General features: G+C 39.1%; 1 protein-coding gene across 7 annotated transcripts in view; it reads left to right on the forward strand.

Annotated features, from left to right (window-relative positions):
- UBAC2 (UBA domain containing 2) overlaps window positions 1-24,424 on the forward strand; it is a 185,651-nt gene that overhangs the window by 114,910 nt on the left and 46,317 nt on the right. For 6 of the 7 annotated variants that reach the window (NR_026644.2, NM_177967.4, XM_011521083.3 and 3 more), the window contains one exon: window positions 2,259-2,306. Coding sequence is in view for 6 of the 7 variants with exons in the window: in NM_177967.4 (NP_808882.1) it covers window positions 2,259-2,306 (48 nt within the window). In the remaining variant the exon portion in view is untranslated. Of the gene's footprint in view, window positions 1-2,258; window positions 2,307-5,541; window positions 13,438-24,424 lie in introns of those variants that run through there. The other variant, XM_017020553.2, reaches the window with a different exon arrangement.

The following is a 24,424-nucleotide window of genomic DNA, read 5'->3' on the forward strand; positions in this document are numbered from 1 at the left end:
ATAGCTACCACTATTCATTTTTCTGAGATTGTAAATGTATTTCTTGTTTTGTTTTTGGCATAAAGCAAGTAGTATGTTTCATCTCTCGGGGAAAGGGGGTCTTAGTTGGATGAAGAGGCACAGCATGGCCTTCATCACGGGGCCATTGTAGTAGGTTGGTGCAAAAGTAATTGCGGTTTTTGCCATTAAAGTAAGGCAAAAACTGCAGTTACTTTTCCACCAACCTAATATCTAGTGCCGTTTCCACAGTGTTACACAGCTCACCATGAGGGATCCCCCTTAGCCCTGCCGAAAGCAGAAAGGTAGATGCAACTACCACGGATAGTTTTTCAAAATAATATAAATTTCCAATATTTTTGTAATATTTCCGGTAACTTTGAGAGGGAGAAGTTGAGATCAGAAAATAGAGGTGGAGATGCCTCATTGCCTCCTTGATAAAATCTAGGTCCTTAGCATGAATGGCATGCAGGGTTCTTCTTGACTGTCTGGTGTCAACTCCCCCTGTGCCCACCTTGAAGGAGTGTAACTGAACTCCTTTGTGCTAAAATGTCTGTCCTCCACCTGCCTCCCTCCCCTCCAAGCCTTTGCATGTGTTTCTGTGCCTTTGTCTCTCCCCACTACAACCAGGGACATTGTTGAATGAATGAATGAATGGATGAATGAATGAATGAATGAATGAAGACTTGAATCATAATCGGAAGAGCCAAAATGCTTAAGGCTCATTTAAGTATCCAATGACTTGAGAGCCCATAACATCATGCCCTGTGCAATGGGCTATGACGTTGTGGGCTCTCAAGCCATCCAATACTTAAATCAGTATCACCCACTGGGTGAGATGTAGCCCCTGTCCTCAAGGAGCCCAGCCATGAGAAAACACACAGATACTGTGAAGACATAGGCAGACATAATGGGGACCACACAGGCAATGAGAGGCTTCAGAACCCAGAGGAAATTACTTTTTCAATGACAAAATGATACGCTCTTTTTACTTGCGTATGAGACCTGGAAGAGTGGAGAGCATGGCTGTAGAGCCAGTCCTGGATACACTCCAGCCCACCACCTGCTAGCTGTTGACCTGTGGCAAATTGCTTAACCACTCGGTTTTACTGAAGTGCCTTGAGAGCAATGCCTGACACATAGAAAGTGTTAGCTAGTCTGTTATTCTTTCTATTTTTAGAAGAAAATTACAGCAAAATATTTGTCTACATGGTTCCATCCTTATTATTATCAGAGTCATTTCCACTGAACAAACGTCCGTGCTACATCAAAGGTTCAGATTTAAAGTTGCAGCCTGTGCTCATTTCTAACTGAGCCTATCACTAGAGCAAAGCTTGCCAGCCTCTTTATCTGAGTGTGTCAACTCTTACCTTTTGTGTCTGTCTTCTTTCTGTGTGTCCTTGGTAAGTGTGCAGAACTTTGAGGTTTTCATCTAGCACAATGCCAGCGATGAACCTGGGCTGTCCTGCCTGAGTATCCTGCCTCTTCTTCCACAATCAGAAGTAAACCCCCAATCTGAAGTTCTAAAAATTAACCAACAATAACCCACAAATCATTTCTTTGTTGCAGGAACACTTTCAGAGTCCTTATGATTTTTTTTTAATTACCCTGAGCACAACTCTAAGATATAAACGATTTGGAAAACAAAGGGAAGAATTTCATGAGATCTAATTCTAATTACTTTTGCCATTAATTAACTTTGTTCTGTTATTTAGTTTGCTCTTCCTTGGGTGAACTAGAATGAGAATATCAACACTTGAGAAAGTTACCATTGGACATAGACCTAAGTAGGCTGGCAGGGTTCTTCCCATCTAAATTTAGGGTGACAATGTTAAGAAATTAAAATGAGAAAGTTATTTACATAAATATCACATCATTGCCAAGCATGGGATGGTGATTACCTGTTTTGTATGTTGTTAATTCTAATAATTTCTTTATATGTAGTATTTTACTTTAAGTCAGTTGAAATTTGTAAATAACATCATACTTGGGTTTCATTTATTTTTCTTTGCATGGGGTGTGGGCCAGGTTCAACTTGTTTTAGGCTATACAAAGTCTGATGTCTGAATAAAAAAAATTAATATATAATTTTCTTTTAAGTAACAGTTGATATTTACTAATTTTCCATTTGCTTCTCTGTATTATGGCATATATAATTAATACTTTATATAAATGGTCATGACTATAGTTATGTAAAAATAAGTGTGCTGTGACTGGCAGTTGAATTTTATTTTTAGTTGCCTTTTTTTTTTCTTTTATAGCTTTTCACCTCTGGTTCCTACATCTGGATTGTAGCCATAAGTGGACTTGTAAGTGTGACTACCCTTTTACACCCAATTCTCTCTCTCTCCTGTAAAAACATTAGGAAAATTGTCCTATTTAGATTGTGCGTCATATTCAACTGTCTCACCATTCTTTTTTTTTGAGACAGAATTTCACTCTTGTTGCCCAGGCTGGAGTGCAATGGCTCGATCTCAGCTCACCACAACCTCTGCCTCCCGGATTCGAGTGATTCTCCTGCCTTAGCCTCCAGAGTAGCTGGGATTACAGGTGTGTGCCACCACGCCTGGATAATTTTGTATTTTTAGTAGAGATGGGGTTTCTCCATGTTGGTCAGGCTGGTCTCAAACTCCTGACCTCAGGTGTTCTGCCCGCCTCAGCCTCCCAAAGTGCTGGGATTACAGGCATGAGCCGCTGCACCCGGCTCTCAACATTCTTTTAACCCATGGCAGGTCTGGCTCAATGTTACTTCTGTGGTGATTAAAAAGGGCCAGTCACGGCCAGGCGCAGTGACTCACGCCTGTAATCCCAGCACTCTGGGAGGCTGAGGCGGGCAGATCATGAGGTCAGGAGATCGAGACCATCCTGGCTGACATGATGAAACCCCATCTCTGCTAAAAATACAGAAAAATTTGCTGGGCGTGGTGGCAGGCGCCTGTAGTCCCAGCTACTCAGGAGGCTGAGGCAGGAGAATGGCGTGGAACCCGAGAGGTGGAGCTTGCAGTGAGCCGAGGTGGCGCCATTGCTCTCCAGCCTGGGCGACAGAGTGAGACTCCATCTCAAAAAAAAAAAAAAAAAAAAGGCCAGTCACAGGGAAAATTGAGACAAAGGAGGCCAGTTTGTGCTTTCAAGGTAATTTTGATGAAAGTTTTAGCTGGGCTTGTCAGTGTTGTTTTTAAATCATAGAAAAAAAAAAAGCCTGAAAATGAAGAAGTTGGACTTACTAAAAATAAGGAGAGATAGTCTGCTCATTTTGTAAAAAGACATTGTCACACGAGGGAAAAAAATAATGCCAACTGGAAAGTCAGGTGGGTTGGACCTGACCAAAGTCTCATCATGGAAGAAGGGAATGAACCAAGCAACCTCAGTATGTTTGCTGGAATTTTTTCATCTTGTCTATGCTATTGTATTTTAATAATAAGCGTTTGTCCTAAATTCTCTGTGAGGTATTAAAAAAAATTAGAGCATGAAGTGGAGTTTTATTCTTCATCCATGACTTAAATTTAAACCTCCAGATTTATAAAAATAAATTTTAACTAGCGGTTATAGAGCATAGATTTTATTTCTTTCTTAGAAAAGACTTAAATGACAGAATGGATTCATAATAATACACATTTCACTGCAATCACTGTACACATTTCAAATAAATTATCACTATCCTTGTTTCTTGGGTGAATGACTGGTATTTGGGGCTAGTGTGTCATCCTGTACGCCTGCTTACCCCTCTTCTTCCTTTAAGCTCTCTGTATTATTCCTTTTCTGTGTTCATTCTTTGCTTAAAATTCACGCCTTTGTTCCCCACAGCTGATATGCTTGCAGCCAATATTCTGGGGCTCCAAGTCACTTTGTTTTCTCCTCCCTAAAAATTTTCACATCTACCCAGATACCTGATTTGGCTTCAGGACCACAGAGCTAAACCCTATTGTGAAGTCTTCAAAACACCTAAGCTATCCGTCTGGTATTCTTGAGACTTGTGGTGGCTTAGGGCCATCCTGGGGTTAGACTGATTCTCTGGGACACAGGTGCCAGACTCCCCCAAGTCTAGGCTCACCCAGTTAGAACTGTTGCGTGACTGAGGAAGACTTAACCAGCCTGAGAACAGCAAAGAAGGAGCTCATTGCTTTGATCATGAGAGATGCCTGAGGATGTACTGTTTGTTCCATGGCATATTTGTTTCACTTAGCAGTAATGGTTTTGAGTTCTGTTTTAAATATTTTCCAAAAGCATTCAAATATTGAAGTACCTTATTGTATACGATTTCATTGTGTTAGTTACTATTAATTCTTTTACTCTCCATATTTGTCCCCTTCCTTAGTAACTCTTATGTGACTCAGTTTTTTAAAACACATTCCATTTTCTTTCTTTATTCTTTTTTTAGACTCCTAGCTTTAAGTGCCTGCTGTCTCCTCAGAAAGTTGCATTGTGTGACATTCAGTGCACTAAAATTGGAGGTTGCATTTTTCATCTCTTTATAGTCTTTTTAAAATCTAAAATTATATGTTATGATTATAGTCTTTTCCGGTACACATGTTTAACAGGTAGTGGGGTACCTGTTTTAACTTTTTAAAAGGAATCAGACGTTTAAAATAAAATTCTTGACCAAAAAAAATCCCTTGTTTCAGAAGGGTGAATAGAATTACAGTGTGTTTGGAATATAATTCAAAGATAATGTAGCATTTTAAAGAACCCTACTAATAATAAACATTTCTGAGCCTTTTACAGTCATTGATTCAGCCAAAGTTACCGGCCTTCTACTATGACAAAAAATCTGATAAATCTTCATATTAACCTTGTTCTTTATTACTATTTTACCATAATTAGATGACTGTTTATTTAAAATAATTAATATTCATGAATCATGGCCAGTTTTCCTATGTTCCTATACCATAAATGTTGGTGCTTGTTTTGAACCTAAGGAACATTTTCTTTCTTTGTCTAGAAAATTCTCATTTTTATTATGAAATATTTACTGTGATGTGGCATACTTTAGATAAGGAAGATTGTAAAAGACAATATCAGTATTATTTGTGAGTGTTTGATTTACACACCACTGACTATAGGATCCAAGCCTGAGATTCACAAAGCCACAGTCTGCCTATTCCAGATGTCTCTTGCTCAACATGACTTCCCCTCTTCCTTTATAGATCAAGTGACTTCCCTTTTTGGGGAGATATTTATGCTAAATAAAATACTAACAAAATAAAATTCTTACTATGCAAAAGAAATGCACAGATAATTATAATTATAGATGATATTCAGTGTTTTGGGGAATGTTACAAAACCTGTTGATGAGATTTCACATTTTAGTATTGAAACCAGTAATTCACTTAACCATGTGTGTTAAGCAATGATTTTATTTCATTCTGGCAATTAATGTGGTTTTTAAGAAAAAGAGTATTTTTTAAACAAAGATATTTGTATGAAACATGAGTAATTTGTTATTTGCTGTCATAGAAACCAAAAACTTTACTCATGCTTTTCTGGAAAGCTGCCAACTTTGGATTGAGCTTATTTTATTTAGCTAGGTACTGGTTGATTTATTTTGTTTAGGCTAGCTTTTTTGTTTTGGAGACAGGCTCGCTGTGTCACTCAGGCTGGAGTGTAGTGGCATGATCTTGGCTCACTGCAACCACTGCCTCCCGGGTTCAAGTGATTCTCGTGCCTCAGCCTCCCAAGTAGCTGGAATTGCAGGTGCACGCCACCAAGCCCGGCTACTTTTTTTGTATTTTTAGTAGAGACGAGGTTTCACCATGTTGGCCAGGCTGGTCTCGAACTCCTGACGTCAGGGGATCCATCTGCCTCAAAGTGCTGGGATTATAGGCGTGAGCCACCGTGTCTGGCCTAGGCTAGTTTTTAATCTCTCCTCGGTGTCCCTTATTCTTGCATAATTATAGATGTCTTTGAATATATAACTTTAAAATATTCCACTGATTAAAATAGAAGGTTGATAAATTATGTCAGTACAGTATTTTACTAGGTAAGTTGACCACTTTTTATCTTCAGTGATATCACAGAAAATAACTAAATCATTTTTCTGAGTTGAGGGAAGACAGTTTTTAGCTTACAGGAGCAATAGTAAGTTAGTTTGCCCAGGATGGCTGTCAGACCTCAGTCCTATTTTGTTATCCAGTAGAGACTCCAGCTGCTGCCCAGGAAAGGTGAGGGGGATTCTCTTGTACTTAAAGATGACTGTAAGATTATTCACATGTATCATTGATAAATGTTTTTGTGTTACCTTTTTCCTCATTTGACAGTTCTGATTTTTAATGCAAACATTTAGTATTTAAAATAGGACTTTTCATGAAATGTTGCAAAATTGTAATTGGAAAGCTTGGCTATTACAGCCAAGTGACATATATCAGTTTAAACAAATACTTCAACATTTCAGTGACCGTATCAACTGTTCTTCTAGATGTCTGGTGAGAGACCTTCAAAAATTGAAGTCAGTCTTTACATATTCATAATTCCACTAATTTTCTTACACATTAATACTTTTCCTTAAAGCATTGCTTACTTACTGAACTTCATTTAAATTCTTCTTGTGGTTCTGCAGAGAGCTTTTGAGCCATCTACATCTCAGAACTTCTTCATTTTCTACAGTTTTATGAATCATAGTACTGAGTCATTACCACAGGGATGCACCCTAATTCTCAAAAGCCGAGGTCTCAGGACTGATCTGATTCTGGCATGATTAAAATAGAAAGAGCCTTCTTTTGCCAATTTTCTTTTTACAGTTCACACATTTATCTTTACTTGACCCTCTTTTAAGCTGTTTGAGAGTGAATTAACAGGCCTATATTCCTCAGACTTCTCCCTTCAACGCAGCCCTTCACTGTACCCATTTCCTGCATTCGTTACTTGTCATGTACAGTATATCAGACTTTGATTATCTCTGATCCAGCAGCCTTAGTGTGGAAAAAAAACAATCTGTTACACCCAAAAGTAAGATTTGGGACTTCAAATGTGGTCTGAGTTTGGATTGTTTTCTGTAAGGAGTGGGGATCTTTAAAGCACTTCAAGAAGAAACACTTTACGATGGTGCAAGATTACAGAAGCCTTATCAGGGTTCGTAGATCATAGGACAGGGGTAGGGAAAATGAGCCATCTGGAGGGAGTCAAGACAGCGCATTTGCGGGCTGTGATTTGCCTTTCTCTCTTCCCTCTGTAGTACTTTTAAAGACAAACAAAAAAACCCAAACCACTGTCTTAAAGTAACTGTGAACAAATGGAAACAGCATAACCTGCTGTGGAAGCATAAGCATCTTTAGAGTATGTTTTGAGGCCCTGGCCTGCTTCTGGGCGAGGGATGGTAGGTGTGAGTTCCTCTGCGCCGCCTTTGCTTGTGCCCAGCTCTCTCTTCTCTCCGTGCTTCCTTTTCTCCTATTTAACCTTTTTTCCCTTAGATTGCTTCTCCATTGACCAAAGAGTGGTATAGGTAGCAGCTCAGATAACTCCTCTGATGCACAAGCCTCCCAGTTAAACTTACTTTAGAGATTTGGATTATTTTCTAGTAGTTCATTGAAAATGAGGACAGGAACTGCAAAGAAAAATCAAGGCTAACCAGATACAGTGGCTCATGCCTGGAATCCCAGCACTTTGGGAGACTGAGGCAGGTGGATCGCTTGAGCCCAAGAGTTCAACACCAGCCTGGCCAACATGGCAAAACCCTGTTTCTACAAAAAACAAACAAACAAACAAACAAAAATTTCAAGGCTGACCAAAGCCATGAGGGTGATGGGACTTGTGAAAGGACCACATGTAGAAGTTGAAGACAAGTAGCAGGTTCTTAAGAAGCATCCAAATTTGGAGGGTGCCTTATAATTAAAATAGCAAGTGTGATGTCAGTGCTTGTCCAATGTACACCCCACACACACTCACATTCACGTTGACTCATCCATATACACTCCCTTTTCTCCTTTTTCCTCCCTCCCTCTCTATGCTACCTTTCCCACTCCTGACCACAGGGAGCCAGGACTAACTGGAAGAAGCCTTCTATTAATATATTCTTCCTTGTGGCAATTGCAACTCAGGCCCAGGATGACAAATGGTGTCTTAGGCCATTGTTAACACAGGGAGGTAGCGACCAGTTGACGTGTGATTTTTAAATGCTCAGTGCAGAATAAATGAAATGATGCCATTGTCTTAATAAAGCTGGCAGATAGAATTGCCTTATAAAATTTATAAAAATAGCTATAAAATTTTATTATTGCAACTTATGTTCTACCTGTAGGCAAAAATCTAGCCTCCTTTCAAAATGCGACCTCCTCACCTACCCCTGTCACTTCTGTGAACCATACACTCCAACTACACACAATCCATTCCCAAACATCCACTTTCAGGATTCTGTATGATTGTGCAAACAAGTATTTTTCTTTAACAAACACACAGCACTTAGTATGTACCAGACACTTGTGGTAGATTTTTTACTCTAGTATTTTTGTTTGTTCAAATATATTTGGTCAAAATATGTTCTGCCCCTCTCTACTGAAGCCCTCCCTATAGGGCCTCTGCATGCCCTGTTGACATCAGGTTTTGTTGTTTGACTTACACTAGCCACTAAAATATGAACAGCAGTGACAAATGCTTCATCCAAGCAGAAGCTTGAAGAGCCACTGCCTGGTTCCACCATTGCTCTGTCCCCTTTGCCATGAGAAAAGCAGGGCCCGGAGAGGGGCAGCTCCTCAGACTCCAGAATGAAGAAGTCAAATGGAGCAGGGCTGTACCAACATGTAGCATGAACAGGAAAGAAATCTTTGTTATAAGCTACTGAAATTTGATAATTTGTTACCACAGTATAACTTAGAAAAAGCTGACTAATAGTACTCTTTTCTAAGCACTTTACAAACATTATTTTAATTAGCCCTCATAAAAACCTGAGGAACTACGGAATATTCTCCCTATTATAGATGAAGAAACTGAGGCACAGGGAAATTAACTACAGTCATGCACTGCGTAACAACGTTTTGATCAACAACAGAGTGCGTATTCAGTGGTGGCCCTGTGGATTCTAATGGAGCATAGGTAGAAACCTGGTGTATGGCACTCAGTGTTGGCACTGCAGATCAAGTAGGGGAAATGACTGATATTCAGTCATGGTGCCAGAACACTTGATTTTCTGTATGAAAAAATATATATAAATGAAAATATATATCCCATCTAGGTTTGTGTAAGTACACTCTGTAATGTTCACACGATGACCAGATCACATAACACATTTCTCAGAATGTGTCCTTATCATTAAGCAACACATGACTGTAATTTGCCAAGAACACCAGGTAGCTGAAAAGTAGTGGAGACAGGATTCAAATGTAGGTAGCATAACTTTAGTGTCTATGCTCTTTTTTTTTTTTTTTTTTTTTTGATACGGAGTCTCTCACTGTCACCCAGGCTGGAGTGCTGTGGCGCGATCTTGGTTCACCGCAAGCTCCACCTCCCGGGTTCACACCATTCTCCTGCCTCAGCCTCCCAAGTAGCTGGGACTACAGGCGCCTGTCACCATGCCCAGCTAATTTTTTTGTGTTTTTTGTAGAGACGGGGTTTCACCGTGTTAGGCAGGATGGTCTTGATCTCCTGACCTCGTGATCCACCCGCCTCGGCCTCCCAAATTGCTGGGATTACAGACATGAGCCACAGTGCCCGGCCTATGTCTATGCTCTTAAAAGATAGCTTTGCATAACCACATGCAGTTTCTTCCAACTATATCCCCTATTTCACTCACATATCCCTTCTTCTAGGAAGTCTTACTCATTTAAGTCCTGGCCCAACCCTTTTCCTGAGTCAGTCCTGACTTTATTTATGAGAGCTCTCCTCTTAAATTTTTAAGTGACAGTTTATAATTGTTGACTATAGGTATGGGGTTGTGCAGCGAATCTCTGGAGCTTATCGCTCTTGCTTAACTGAAACTTTATGCCTGTTGATTTTTAACTCTCCTTTTCCCTCTGCCCCCAGCCCCTAGCAACCACCATTTTACTCTCTGATTCTGTGAAATTGACTATCTTATATACCTCATATAAGTGGAATCATGCAGTATTTGTCTTTCCGTGACTGGCTTGTTTCACTTAGCATATAGGTCCTCATGTTTCATCCATGTTGTTGCATATTACAAAATGCCCTTCTTTTTGAAGGGCTGAATAGTATTGCATTGTATGCATGGACCACATTTTCTTCATCCCTTTGTCTGTTGATGGGCACTTAGGTTGTTTCCCCATGTTGGCTATTGCAAATAACATGGTGATGACATGAGAGTGCCGAGACCTCTTTGAGATCCTGATTCATTTCTTTTGGATGTATACCCAATAGTGGGATTGCTGGATCATATTAGTTCTATTTTTAATTTTTTGAGGAACCTCCATACTGTTTTCCATAGTTGCATCATTTGCATTTCTGCCAACTGTGCACAGGGGTTCCAGTTTTCCCCACATCCTAACCAACACTTGTCTTTTGGTGTTTTTTGTTTTTTTATAATAGCCATCCCAGCAGGTGTGAGGTGATACCACATTGTGGTTTTGATTTGCATTTCCCTGATGATTAGTGACATTGAGCATTTTTTCATGTACCTATTGGCCATTTGTATGTCTTCTTTGGAGAAATGTCTGTTTAGGTCCTTAGCCCATTTTTAAAACTAGGTTATTAGTTTTTTGGTATTGAATTGTAGGAGAGTCCTTTTAGTTTATAGGAATTCTATGTTATTCTTCATAATCTTCAGTGCCTAGCACAATGTCTACTTGATACACATTCTAAAAATAATTTTTTAGTTTAAAAACTTAATATTATCAAAAAATAATTTCTGTACTATAAAACATTATACTACATGATTGTCAGGATGCTTACAATGTGTACTGCCTTACTAGGTTCTTGATGTGTTCTCTATAGTGGTAGAATACCTGGACTGCCTATTTTAAAGATAGGGAGGCTGAGTTTCAGGTTGCATGAATGATGGGTGGTAGAACCAGGACAAAGGCCAGGTGTTCTGCTCCAGGCCCAGTGAGTCCAGCACCTTACACTGCACATCTCAAGGCTCTCATCCATGTCTCTTCCAGCCACGAGATGCACAGACACAGTTATTCTTAAAGTTTCCCTTAGCCACACCACTAGGATGAGGCCCCATTCATCAGCAATGGAGACATGATTCTGGAGGGCAATCTTGGGTATGAAGAGGTTTTCAAAGTCCCCAGAGGCCCTGAAAAACACAATCGACAACTTTTTGCAGCCTTCTGTGTGCTGACCAATAGCCAAGGAAAATTTTTTCTCATTAGCAGACTCTATTTTCTTCGTAATATGAAGAATGTGGCCTATAGCTATGCTTTCTCTTCTAAAATCATCAAGATATTTAACTGGTCCTCTCTCCATGCTTGGTTAAAAACTCAGCTTAAACCTCACCTTCAGCAAACTCACTGTCTTGTATTTCTTGCATTGTCATACTCAATCTGAAGTAAAGAAACATTCAGAGAAAACTTAAAGGATAATTTAAAGTATATTAGGCTGGTATAGTAGTGTTACTGAATAAAGGAAAAAGAAGTAGAGATAAGGAAGAGGTTGCCAAGAAACACCCGTACTTTTACATTGTAGAGATTACTGGTAGATTATCATGTCCGTTGCAGGACAGAACATTTTCCCATGGGTCTTCACATTGTCTTTTTATCAGGAAATTAAAATTTTTTCATCAGTTTTGATTATCTCTTTAAACTATATGTAGTTTTGGTTTTTGGTTTTTCTCTCTCTCTCTGTGTGTGTGTGTGTGTGTTTAAGTGTCCAGTGTTTGTCTTCGGGGACTGACTGTGTTGATATTTTCCTTCTGTCTTGATGATAGCCTCTGGGAAGGGACTATGGTAAAATTAACATGTCGTTTTGAATTTATTTATTATTTATAAACAACAGCATAGGATGTTATCAAAGGTCTTCCATGTTAGCTTATATTGATAGCTGAGAACATTTTCAAAGCAGCAGAAGTTTTTTGTTGTTAAAAGCTTGTTTTTGTTCTGCTAAAATCCTACCTCTTATAAAATTTAAAAGATTTATGTATCTATTTGAGATCTTTCTAGATCTTCACATTCTTTTTTATTAAAAGATTCTTTTTCCCTTTTTTTGTTTATTAAGATGTTATTTACATACAATAGAACTCACCAATTTTAAGTGTATAGTTCGTTGAACTTTGGTAGTTATATACAGTCATGTACTCACCACCATAATCAATATGGAAAGCAGTCTCCTGACCATGAATGGTGGCTTCATGCCCCATGCTCTTTCCCCACATCCAGCTGCCAGCCGCAGGTAACCACTGATCTTCATGTAATTATAGTTTTGCCTTTGCTGGAATTTCATATACTTAGTATTGTATAATATGAAGTATTTTGTGTTTTACTTCTTTCACTTGAACATGAAAATTTCACCAATTTTTAAAATTAATTTTTCATTTATTATTGTATTAAGTAACAATTAATAGATTAAGTATTAATCTATAGTATGGATGCACCATACTTTGTTTATCCATTCACCAATTGGTGGACATTTGAGTTGCTTCCAGGTTTGGATTATTATGAATAATGCTGCTGTGAACATCTGTGTACACATTTGTGTGTGGACATATGTTTTCCTTCTTTAGGAACGGAATTGCTGGGTCATATGGTAAGTGTATATTTGACATTAGGAAATACTACCATGTTATTTTACAAAGTGGCTCTACCATTTTGCATTTCCACCATCGATGTTTGAAACTTCCAAATTCTCTACACCCTTGTCAACACTTGGTATTGTCAGTTGTTTTAGCTTTAGCCGCTCTATTGGGTGTGTAGTGGTATCTTGTGGTTTTAATTTGCATTTCTCTAATGATTAGTGATGTTGAGCATTTTTTTTCATGTGCTTAGTGGTCATTTTCATATCTTTTGTGAAATATCTGTTCAAATCTTTTATCCATTTTGTTCATTGGGCTATTTATCTTCTAACTGACTTAAAATAATTCTTTATATATTCTAGATATAAGCTCTTTGTTGGACATGTTTTATGAAAATTGTATTCTAATTTGTGGCTTGTCTGTTACCAAAAAGCAAAATTTTAAAATCTTGATTAATTCATTGTTAACTGGTTTTTAAAATAGTTTGTGCTTTTGATGTTCTATTTAAGAAATCTTTGCTAATCCAATGTCACAAAGATTTTCTCCTATATGTTCTTCAAGAATTTAATAGTTTCTGCTATTACATTTAGGTCTGTGATCCAGTTTGAGTATAATTCTTTTGAGGTAAAGGGTAAGATTTATTCTTTTCCACACAGATACTCATTTGTTCCATTACCAGTTATTGAAAAGACCCTTTTCTCATTGCATGACCTTGGCACCAAAACTCAGTTGACCAGTATAGGTTTATTTCTTGACTCTTTTCTTTCCCAGTTATCTATATGTCTGTCCTTACGCCAATACCACACTGCACTGATGACTACAGCTTTATGGTAAGTCTTGCAATCAGGCAATATAAGTCCTCCCACCTTGTTTTTCTTTTTTAAAACTGGTTTGCTTATTTTAGGACACTGACTTTTAATATACACTCTACAATCAGCCTGTAATTTCTTCAAAAAAAGGGGAAAAGAGTTAAGATTTTGCTTGTAATTGCGTTGAAACTTTAGATCAACTTGGGAAGGATTGCCATGGTGATGGTTTTTAAATGTTTCCACAGATTCTTTTACACATCAAGAGGTGGAGCTTATTTTTCCTCTGCTAGCATTTGAGCTGTACTTGGTGATACTTATAATGAATAGAATGTGGCAAAAATGATGGAATGTGACTCCCAAGAGCAGATCATAAAAGACACAGCTAGTCCTGTGTCTTTACTCTCTCCTGGATCTCTTGCCCTTGGGGAGCCCATCTACCATGCCATGAGGACTCTTAAGCAGACCTGTGGAGAGGTCCACATGGCCAACAATCGTGGCCTCCTGCCAACAGTCAGCACTAACTTGCTAGGTGTGTTTTTGAGCCACCTTGGAAGGTTATCCTCCAGTGCCAGTCAGGTCTTGAGATGAGTGCAGATAGGCTGACACCTTGACTGACTACAGCCTCATGAGAGACCTTGAGCCATAACCACTCAGCTAAGTTACTCCCACATTCCTGCCCCCACAGAAATTGGATAATAGATGCTTATTGTTTCAAGCCACTGAGTCTTAGGTAATTTGTTGCTCAGTAATCAACAGCTACTACAACAATCTTAACAGTATTGAGTTCTCCAATGCACGAACGTGATAAGTCTCTACGTTTATTTAGCTCTTCTTTAATTCCCCTTTGCAATTTTTAAATTTTCAATGTACAGGTCTTGCACATCTTTCATTAGATGTATTTCTAAGTAATTCTGGTATGTTGATGCTATTATAAGTGGAATTGGTTTTATAAATGTTTTCCCAATTGTTTGTCACTAGTGTGTAGAAATACAGCTGATTGGCTGGGTGTGGTGGCTCACAGCTGTAATCCCAGCACTTTGGGAGGCCAAGGTGGGCTGATCATGAGGTCAGGAGTTCGAGACCAGCCTGACCAACATGGTGAAACCCCATCTCTACTAAAAATACAAAAATTAGCCAGGCTTGGTGGCGGATGCCTGTAATCCCAGCTATTCAGGAGGCTGAGGCAGGAGAATCGCTTGAACCTGGGACGCCGAGGTTGTAGTGAGCTGAGATCATGCCACTGCACTCCAGCCTGGGTGACAGAGTGAGACGTCATCTCAAAAAAAAAAAAAAAAAAGAAATACAGTTGATTTCTGTATTTCGTTCTTGTGTCCTGCAACTTTTCTAAATGTGTTTATTATTTCTGGTAGCTTTTCTGTGGATTCCTTAGAGTTTTCAACATAGGTGGTCTGTGTCATCCAGAAATAAGTTTTATGTGTTTATATGCTTCTTCTTTCCCAATTTGTACCTTTTATTTTTCTTTATTATACTAGCTAGGACCTCTAATAGAATATTAAATAAAAGTGGTGAATGGATATCCTTGCTTCTTCCTGGTCTTAGATGGAAAACGTTGAGTTTTTCACCATTGAGGCTGTATCTATAAATCCACAAATCTTTTAGAGCTTCACATTCACTTTTAGTTTGTTATTTTTCATCAAAGGTAAGAAATGAGTTTCAACTGAAATAAGCCCATATTTTTATTAATTTTTCATTTTTTGAATCCATTTAAGAAAGTGCATGTAACTTTTAAAGGAGGATGGTCCGCTTGTTAAAATGGATATTAGAAGGTGTTTGTTTACATATAAGAACCTGATGATGGTTTTCTCCATGTGCTAGAGACTCTAGTTGCCTTCCAGTATATTTTTTCCTTCATAAGGGAAGGTTCGTTTTATTTGAGCCAGCAATGCCTCCAGCTGAGATCACGTATCTCTTATCCTTCGCCTCTCAGTCTGACCACTGGTCTAAGTCCTGGCGTCCTGGCCATTGAGCTGTAAACACACATATTTGTGTGACTTCTGAGAAGGCTCCTTAAAGTCGCCTTTTGTCCTTTCTTATTTTTTTTCTTCTGGCTGCTTTGACTACAGTTAAGATGTTTGGAGCTTTTTAAATATGAAGGTGAAATAAACTTCTCTTGTATTTAAGCCACTGTTGTTTGAAGTTTTCTACTTAGCATAGTTGACCTAATCCTCCTGATGCATGATTTCCCAAAAGGAAAAGCCTAGAGCAGGTTTCTAAGACAGTATGTGAGAAACGAATAATCTGTGATTAGTGTTATTACTTCTGTCTCTATTCCAATTTGGTTTTCCAAGAATCAGAAGGATATCCAGCATTTTAATTGGGTACCTCAAAATCTTTTAATTTAGTATCATTTCTATTCCCTCATATGAGATAGAAAAGCTATAGAAAGTTCAATCTGAATCACTTTTGCACTTAAAGAATAGCAAGTCTCAGAGTAACTGCCAAAGGCACATGGTTCTGTCTGTCATGAAAAGAATAATCTTTTCAAAATGTATGACAAATGGCAGAAATAACTTTGGGAATCCCTAATTTGCATTCACATTCTTGGGGTAATAAATTAGGGAATGTACAAAGTTCCCTTATGCTTTCTCTAACATTTTCATTGGAGAAGAAGGAATAGGAAAATGTAAGATGCATCAGGGCAGGGATTTTTCTGTTTTGCTCCTTACTATGTTTCAGTGTTTAGAACATAGGCTGGCACGTATTAGCATTGAGTAAATATTTGTGGAATGAATAAATGAGGTCTCGGTGGGTCTGGTTACCACAGGCCTTGAGGGCACATGAAGTCTATGTGCTGGGGCTCAGTTGCAAGGGGACATTTATTCCTTTGGCTGTTCCTTGTCATGCAGAGGCAATATCATGCCCCTGGGAAAGCAGCCCCTAGGTTTGTCCTGTTGTCCCAGTAGATGGTCGGTTTCTTGAATGTGGGACCGGTGGTTGGCACAGCTTGCCTTGTGGGTTTTTGTTCAGCCACAGTTGGCCAAAGAAAGCAATCGACACCTGTGTGTCATTGCAAAGTCATAGTTTCTAACCTTTGCCTGTTGTGGTTTCAGGCTAGTACTAAACAGGACCAGAGGACAGTTGAAGTTTACTCTCTATAATCAAGAGTGTTTTGCATGTTTTCTACCCAGCAAATTAAATTATTTGCCTGATGAGCATTATTTCATGATTCCCTTCCTAAAAGGATGAAGCATCTGGAAAATCTGAAGAACCGTGTAATTGACGTCCATGTTTATTAGTGGACTAAGAGAAAATCATTTCCTCTTGCCTTACATTCTCAGACTTACAGGGTCACAGCTTCTGCTGTTGGCATATGGGGGGCTGCTCCCTCTGACCTGGAGCCAGCGTGGGTCTTTGGCCTAGACTCTCAGCTGGACGTGGGCCAGGGGTTCTCTGGTTGCGTGACCATGTGTCCCCTTTCCTAGCCAGGGTTCCTGCTTCCTGTTGCCCAAGTGCTCAAACTCCAACTCGAGCTTGTCTTCCCGGGCATATGCTCTTTGTTCCTTTTTGCTTTATCTGATCGTCCTGCACTGACCCCTTGCCTGCCGGAGACTGCGCCACTGCTGCCTTCTTTTTCAGTGGCCCCTCCGTTTGCTCTTTGGCTTACCCAGGTCTGAGGGCCTGCAAGACCTCCTTGGTAGAGTTCCCCCAGCCCCCTGACACACAAATCCAACATATGGTCTTTTTCTAAAGCCTGCTTTTCAGAGGGTCTATGGATTTCAAGAAAACTCGCTCATTCAGAAGACCTAGTGTAAAAAAGGTTTATGAGATCATGAAAATTAGGTCAGGCATGGTGGCTCACACCTGTAACCCCAGCACTTGGGGAGGCCAAGATGGGAAGATCACTTGAAGCCAGGAGTTTGAGACCAGCCTGAGCAACATGGTGAAACCCCGTCTCTGGGGGGGGAAGAAAGAGAGAGATAATGAAAATTAAAATTAAAAATAATGTGTGAATGTAACATAGTATTATAATAACTGATGCTCTCTAAAAGCTTTTGGCAGTAATTAAGTGAAATCTAATGTAATTATTTTTGTCCCATCTTTCCATAGACTAGGGTTTTAAGCACTTTATATTTTAATCCTTTGTGAAAATCTAAAACATTGTGCAGTAGCACTTTATTTGACAACTTGAGGTCATGCTGGCGTGCCAGTGACATGGACAAGTGAACTCTTTATCTTTTATCATATGGGAAAGTATAAACTTGGGACCAAAAAGAATGCATAACTTTCCAATTTCCTTTAAAAGGATCTAAGATAATGTATTTATTTTTGTGGAGCATTTGTTAATTCACCATTCACCCAGGAAATACTTACAGTACTATGTGCCAGACACTGTTCTAAGTGCAGAGGCCAAGTAGTGATCAAAAGCAACCCAAATCTTCCCCATTCAGAGTTTACATTTAGATAGATGGGATAGAAATGTAAGCAGATGAACACAAAAGCCCTACTTCCCTGCCAGAATTTGCAGTCCTATTTTTGTTTATTACTGGGTGGGGTATCCATATTCTTCACAGAATGGTCCTGCTGAAATTGAATACATAGTTTTGTGAGTGTATACTCACGTCTGATTGTCATTGTGGGGGCAGGGAAGGCATGGACAGGAGAGTGAAGATCTTTAACCTTCCTCAGTTTCTTAAGGGAGTCTGTGGCCTCCCCCCCATAAATTAAGAGCTTCTACCAAATTGTGAACTCCTTAAATACTGGCAAAAACTATGCATTTTCATTATATTTTTCTTAATTTATTTAAAAACCTGATTTAAAAAAAATTAGCAACAAGATCTTGCTCCGTCACCCAGGCTGGATGCATTGGTGCAATCATAGCTCACTACAACCTCGAATTCTTGGGTCAAGTGACCCTCCCACATCAGCCTTCCAAGTATCTGGGACTACAGGCATGCACCACCATGCCCAGCTAATTCTTTTTATTTATTCTTATTTTTTTTTTAGAGATGGGGGTCTTGCTCTGTTGCCCAGGCTGGTCTTGAACTCCTGGCCTCTAGTGATCCTCCTGCTTCAGCCTCCTAACATGCTGGGATTACAGGCGTGAGCACAGAAAAACCAACATTGTATTGTTGAGCTTTTAAGGTATATAGGTGTAAAATATGACAGAAGTAACGCAGTGGATGGGAAGACATTACATGGAACTGTAGTAAGTCTTAACCTTGTCAGTAGGTTCTTGGAAATTCCAACTTTAAGCAAAACATCATTCAAATAATGTCATTTCATTCAACGTCTTTTCATTACAGCATTGAGGAGACAAAATTATACTTTGTTTCAGTTAAAGTTGGAGTTTCCAAGAACCTATCAGTGAGTTAAGTGAGGACTTACTGTAGGGTCTTGCAAGCTTCTCCTGTTTTACATGAAGTAATTCAGTATTAACTCCAAATATATTATGCTCAATTTTGAATGCATATTATAACCTCTAGGGCAAATATGAGGGGGAAAATACAGTGATATATAGCTGAAAAAAACCAAAATACTAAATAATATTTGATAGCACAAAAGAACGTAGGAAAGGGGGAGTAAAGAGTAAGAAACAGATGAGACAGACAGAAACCAAATTGCAAAATCCAGCTATTCAAGCAAATACATTAAGTATGAATAATAGCTAAACACTCCAATCAAAAGGTAGAGATTGTCAGACTAATTTAAAAGAAAAAAAATTGCTATATGGTATCTACAAGACACACTTTAAATACAAAGACACAAAAAAAGCCTGAAATTAAAAGGATGAAGATATATTATGGAGACAGTAACCATAAGAAAGCTGAAATGGCTGTTTTAAGATTAGACAAAGTAGACTTCTCTATGAGTATTACTAAAAACACAGCAGAATGCTTTGTTATGACGAAAGGGTCAGTTGTGTTTGTGTGCCTAATAACAGCGTCCACAAACAGGAACAGCTTCTAGATATATGAAGTTAAAATAGCTAATGGGAGCAATGAACAAATCAACAATCACAGTTGAATACTTTGAGACCGAAAAATAAAAATGTTTAATTTTGTACTTCATTCAAATCTCACAGCTCTAATTTGTACTACATTTTTAATATTTTGTTATGTTTATAACATTTTGCTATCTTCTGCTGAATCAGCGTAATGCTGATATACACCCTATTTTCTGTTTTATATCAGATCTTCAGAAAAGGCATTTCTACTTCCTTGCCTCCAATTCATTACTGTTTTTTTTTTTCCATATTGACTTCATATGTCTCTCTTCATTAAAAATATATATTTGTTACAGAGAATGCCTCTGCCTACCCCCTACCCTGTCCCCCATCACCCCTCTACAGCAAAGACTGCTTTCTGTGATTCTGTAGTTACCGCAGACAGATGTGTGCACAAACGGCATAGACTATTATTTTGTTGTCTGAAATTTTGCAGGAAGATGAGCGCAACATGTGATACCTTCTATGTGTATTTTTCATTCCACTTTAAACACATCAGTACACGCACATGGAGTTCATCTGGATGGCTGTATAGTACTGTGTTGTATGAATAACCCACTCTGCAGCTGTTCCCCTCTTGGGGATGATTTGTTTCTGCTTCCTCTCTCTCTCATGCAGGGCTGCAGTGGAATGAGCCTCAAAGCTCTACTTGGTGTTGCCACATTGCTCCCCAGAGGCGCCATAGCTTCACCTTCCCTCGGGACTGTGTGAGAGTTCTCAGTTCCCTCCATCCTTACCAAAACCTCACACCTGGAATCCCAGCACTTAGGGAGGCAGAGGCAGGAGGATCGCTTGAGCCCAGGAGTTCAAGACCTGCCTGGCAACATGGCAACACCTCATTCTCCACAAAATGGAAAAAAAAAAAAAAGAGATAAAACTGGATGTTAGAGGAGCTTTACATTTTTGCCAGTTGCTGTATTTAAGATTGCTCATTTTAGATTTCAGAGTCCTAAAAACAAGTGAGGATAAACATCTTTTCATGAGTTTGTCAGCCATTTGAGTTTTCTCTTCTGAAATTACCTTTTCATATGCTTTTAAAACTGGGCTCTTTCTTACACATTCCTAGGGTTTCTTGATATGTTCTGAATGCTGCCTTGGTTGGCTGTATGAATTCTGAATACTTTCTTCAGGCCTCTTGTGTTTTCATTTCATTTATGGTAGCTTTTGGCATACTACAGCTTTTAAATTGTAAAGTAGACCAGTGTGTGTTTTCTTTTCTAGTTTGTACCTTATGTTTCTTAATTTAAAATATTTTGCCACCCCAGTGCCAAAAAGGTATTCCTTCTGTATTTTGTGCAGAAAGATTTACAATTTCATGAATTCTATTTGAGTTCTTATTCCATTGCAAGTTTACGTTTGGTGTCAGGAAGGGGCCCTGTTCTGTCTCTTCCTTGTGTATAGCCCATGTGCCCCTTCCCTCCCAATTTACCCATGTCTGCTGAATACCAGGTGCCCTTACACTGAGGATCCTATTTCTAGGCTCTTGTTCTCTTGGTCTATTTAAGTAACCCTAGATAAAGACCACACTGTTTTAGGTAGCCAAACTTTATAGTATGTCTTGAAATCTGATAGGACTTACGTTTCTTTAAAATTGCCTTGCCTTTTCTGGGTTTTTTATTTCTTTGTCTTTTAACTCTTAATTGTGATATACAACACAAACTAACTGTCACAAAGCCTTGCAAATCACTATAAAGCAAATATACCCATAATCCACCATGCAGGTACAGACCATGCCTGGCCAGCCCCGCAGCCCATGGTGCCCCCCTTCCTTCCCACCTCTCTTCCTCCTTCCCACCTCCCTCCTGTGACCCCTTCCCCTTCTTTCTCCCTCCCTTCTGTGACCCCTCCTAGCACACATAGTCATCATCTTTGCGCTTTCCTGTCTCGTTTTACTGCTTAGTGTGTGGTTTAGGTTCATTCATTCACAGAAGTGGAATCGTGTTTTCAGGCTTTGGGTCTGGCTTCTTTCTCCCAACATGGTGTTTTTAAAATGCAAACCTTAAATATTCCGCATGAATTTGAGGCTTGGCATTTACATTCCAACAAAACACCCTGTTAAGATTTTATTTTGAATGATATTTAATTTATGTATTAATTTGATGAAAATTGGTATCTTAAAAGTTTTGCATCTTCCTATTCATGGAACTGGTATCTTTATTATCACTAGGGTTGGTTTTGAAAAAATATCCCTTATTATCTTTTTCTTTTTTTTCTGTCAAGGCCTTATATATATATTATTTATTTATTCCCAATTATCTTACAGTTTTTCTTGCTGTTATTTGCTAACAGTTTATTTTTTCTTTCTAAACAGTCTGTATTTTATCCCTGGTTGCTTTTAAGGATTTCTTTCTTTTGTTTCACCACAGTGGATCTAGATGTAAATTTCGTTTTAGCATTCTTTTAGGGACTCTTGCCCTTTCATCCTAAGGATTTATATTCTTTCTTTATTCTAGAAAACTCTCAGCTGTTTATCTCTTTAAATATAATATCCTTTCCCCCATATTCCCTCTGTTGTCTTCTTCTGGAACCCCTATGCTGACAGCCGCATGAGATGCACATAATCTGCCTGTGCAGAGGCCTTGGCCTTCCCAACCCACATGGACCCTCCTTGGTTCATGCCCTACACAGCTTTTCCCTTCTCTCTGTGGAGGGGAGAAAGGGTACATGGAGCATGAGGAGGAACTGGGGTGCCTCTTACCCAGACTTAAGTAACCCTCTACTTCTCTCCTCCTTCCACAGGGCCTAGACCCTCTAGTCCAGGGGTATCTAGTCTTTTGAACTCTTCTGTGACACATTGGAAGAAGAATTGTCTTGGGCCACACATAATATACACTAACACTGAAGATAGCTGATGAGCTTTAAAAAAATTGCAAAAAAATCTCCTAACTTTTTTTCTTTTTTTCTTTTTTTTTTTTTTTTTTTTTTTTTTTTGAGACAGAGTCTCACTGTGTCGCCCAGGCTGGAGTGCAGCGGCACAATCTCGACTTACTGTAACCTCCACCACCCAGGTTCAAGCGATTCTTGTGCTTCAGCCTCCTGAGTAGCTGGGACCACAGGTGTGTGCCACCACGCCCGGCTAATTTTTGTATTTTTAGTAGAGACGGGTTTTTACCATGTTGGCCAGGCTGGTCTCAAACTCCTGACCTCTTGTGATCCGCCCGCCTTGGCCTCCCAAAGTGCAGGGATGACAGGTGTGAGCCACTGCGCCCAACCTTGTAATGTTTTAAGAAAGTTTATGAATTTGTGTTGGACCACATTGAAAGCTGTCCTGGGCCACATGTGGCCCACAGGCCTCAGGTTGAACAAGCTTGCTCTAGTCCCTGTGCTTTTCTGAGTCCCACAGGACTCTCTGCAGGCATTTGGACTTATATGCTGCTTATATGCAGAGTGGTTTATAATCACTTGATAAGCTTTCTATTTTGTTAGCATGGTTCAGGATTAGTTTCTGGTTTCATGGACCTTGGAGTTTGTTTCTGTTTTCATTTTCTTTGTCTTGTACTATTTTTGAGTAAAGGGGCACAGAAATTATTTGAAACCAGAAGTTGTCCACCATTCACTCTTCAGCCTACTACAGTCTGTCTTTGGTACCAAAACTGTTCTTGTAAACACCTTGTTTATCAAACACCTCCATTTGCAACATCCAGTGGCTAGTTCTGTCTTACTTATCAGCTGCATTAGATATAGCTGACCATCCCTATTTTAAAACACTTCTTAGCTTCAGTGATAACTAAACTCTATTTCCCTTCTCTTCACTGGCAGCCCTGTCTCAGATTTCCTTACTGGCGTTTCCTACTCTGTCTGTCCATAGAATATTTGTGCACTCCTGGATTCAGTCCTTAGTCCTGTTCTCTCTTCTGCTGTGTCTCCTCCTCCCCCCCATTTTATCTCCTCTAGTCCTGTTACCCTAAATGTCATATCATATCCAGTGACTCTGAAATCCTTATCTCGACCTTTTCCTTGAGTTCTAGAATTACATAGCCACCTGCCCACTCAGTAGCCCCCCAAGATATCTAATAGACACTCCCAAGCTCGGGCTGCGCAGCATCTGCTGCTTTCTCTGCCCAAAATGTTATTTCCCCAGTTCATCAAGTCACGGGCACCGCATCATCCTTAAGATCTTCGCTCAAGTATCACTTTCTCTGAGGGCTCTCCTGATGTCCCCCGCTGCCCCCAGAGTAGGTTCGTGCCCCATGTCACTTTATTTCCTTCCCAGAACTTGCCAGAAATAGTTTTATGTGTTGACTTGATTACTGCCTGTTCTCCACATTGACTGCTATAAGCCCTGTGAGAGTGGGGCCTTGCTTATCTTGTTCTTTGCTGTATTCTAAGTTCCCAGAACAGTGCCTGGTGTGTAGCACAGTCTCAAAGAATTCTTGCCAATTCATCAATTTAAATTTTATTTTTAAACATTGAAGTATACTTTTCTCATATTAGAAAGTTGTCAAATATGTTCTAATCTGATCTTCTAATCCTAAGAATCAAATTCACATCAAGATTTTTTTTTTTTTACAAAGGAATAGCCATAGTCATTTTTAACTAGAAAATCATAGGAAGCCTTGAGACTTCTGTAACCATACATTATAAATGACCTTCAAGATGAAGACAAGGTTGGTTTATAAATGGAACTAATATTGGTGAGGATTTTAAATGTCTAGAAAAATCAGTAGTTGAAAAACTGATTAAAACACTATGTAAATAAAAACCAAGATTTTAGATTGTGTTTATTCTCTGATAAATTGATCGTGTGACTGGGTCAGCTGAGACATGGCAGTTGTTTTCTGCTGGTGTCTCTGTGATGGCCATCTGCCAACAAAGGTAACCGCAGAGTCAGTACAGTGTGAAAGTGTTTCAATAATCAGATCTTTTACGGCTTTTTAAAAAATGAAGACAGTGTCTTGACAATCTTTTACCAGAACTTTGAATACTAAATGATTAGAATTTTGCTAGCTCTTCTAATTCAATAAAAAACAATTTTGTTTTACTAAGTTCAATTTTGTGTTGATTTGCACTGCTTAGTGTTCTGCAGTGTGGTAGAGGATTTTG

The sequence above is a fragment of the Homo sapiens genome, chromosome 13 (assembly GCF_000001405.40).
Source record: "Homo sapiens chromosome 13, GRCh38.p14 Primary Assembly".
Classification (NCBI taxonomy): domain Eukaryota; kingdom Metazoa; phylum Chordata; class Mammalia; order Primates; family Hominidae; genus Homo; species Homo sapiens.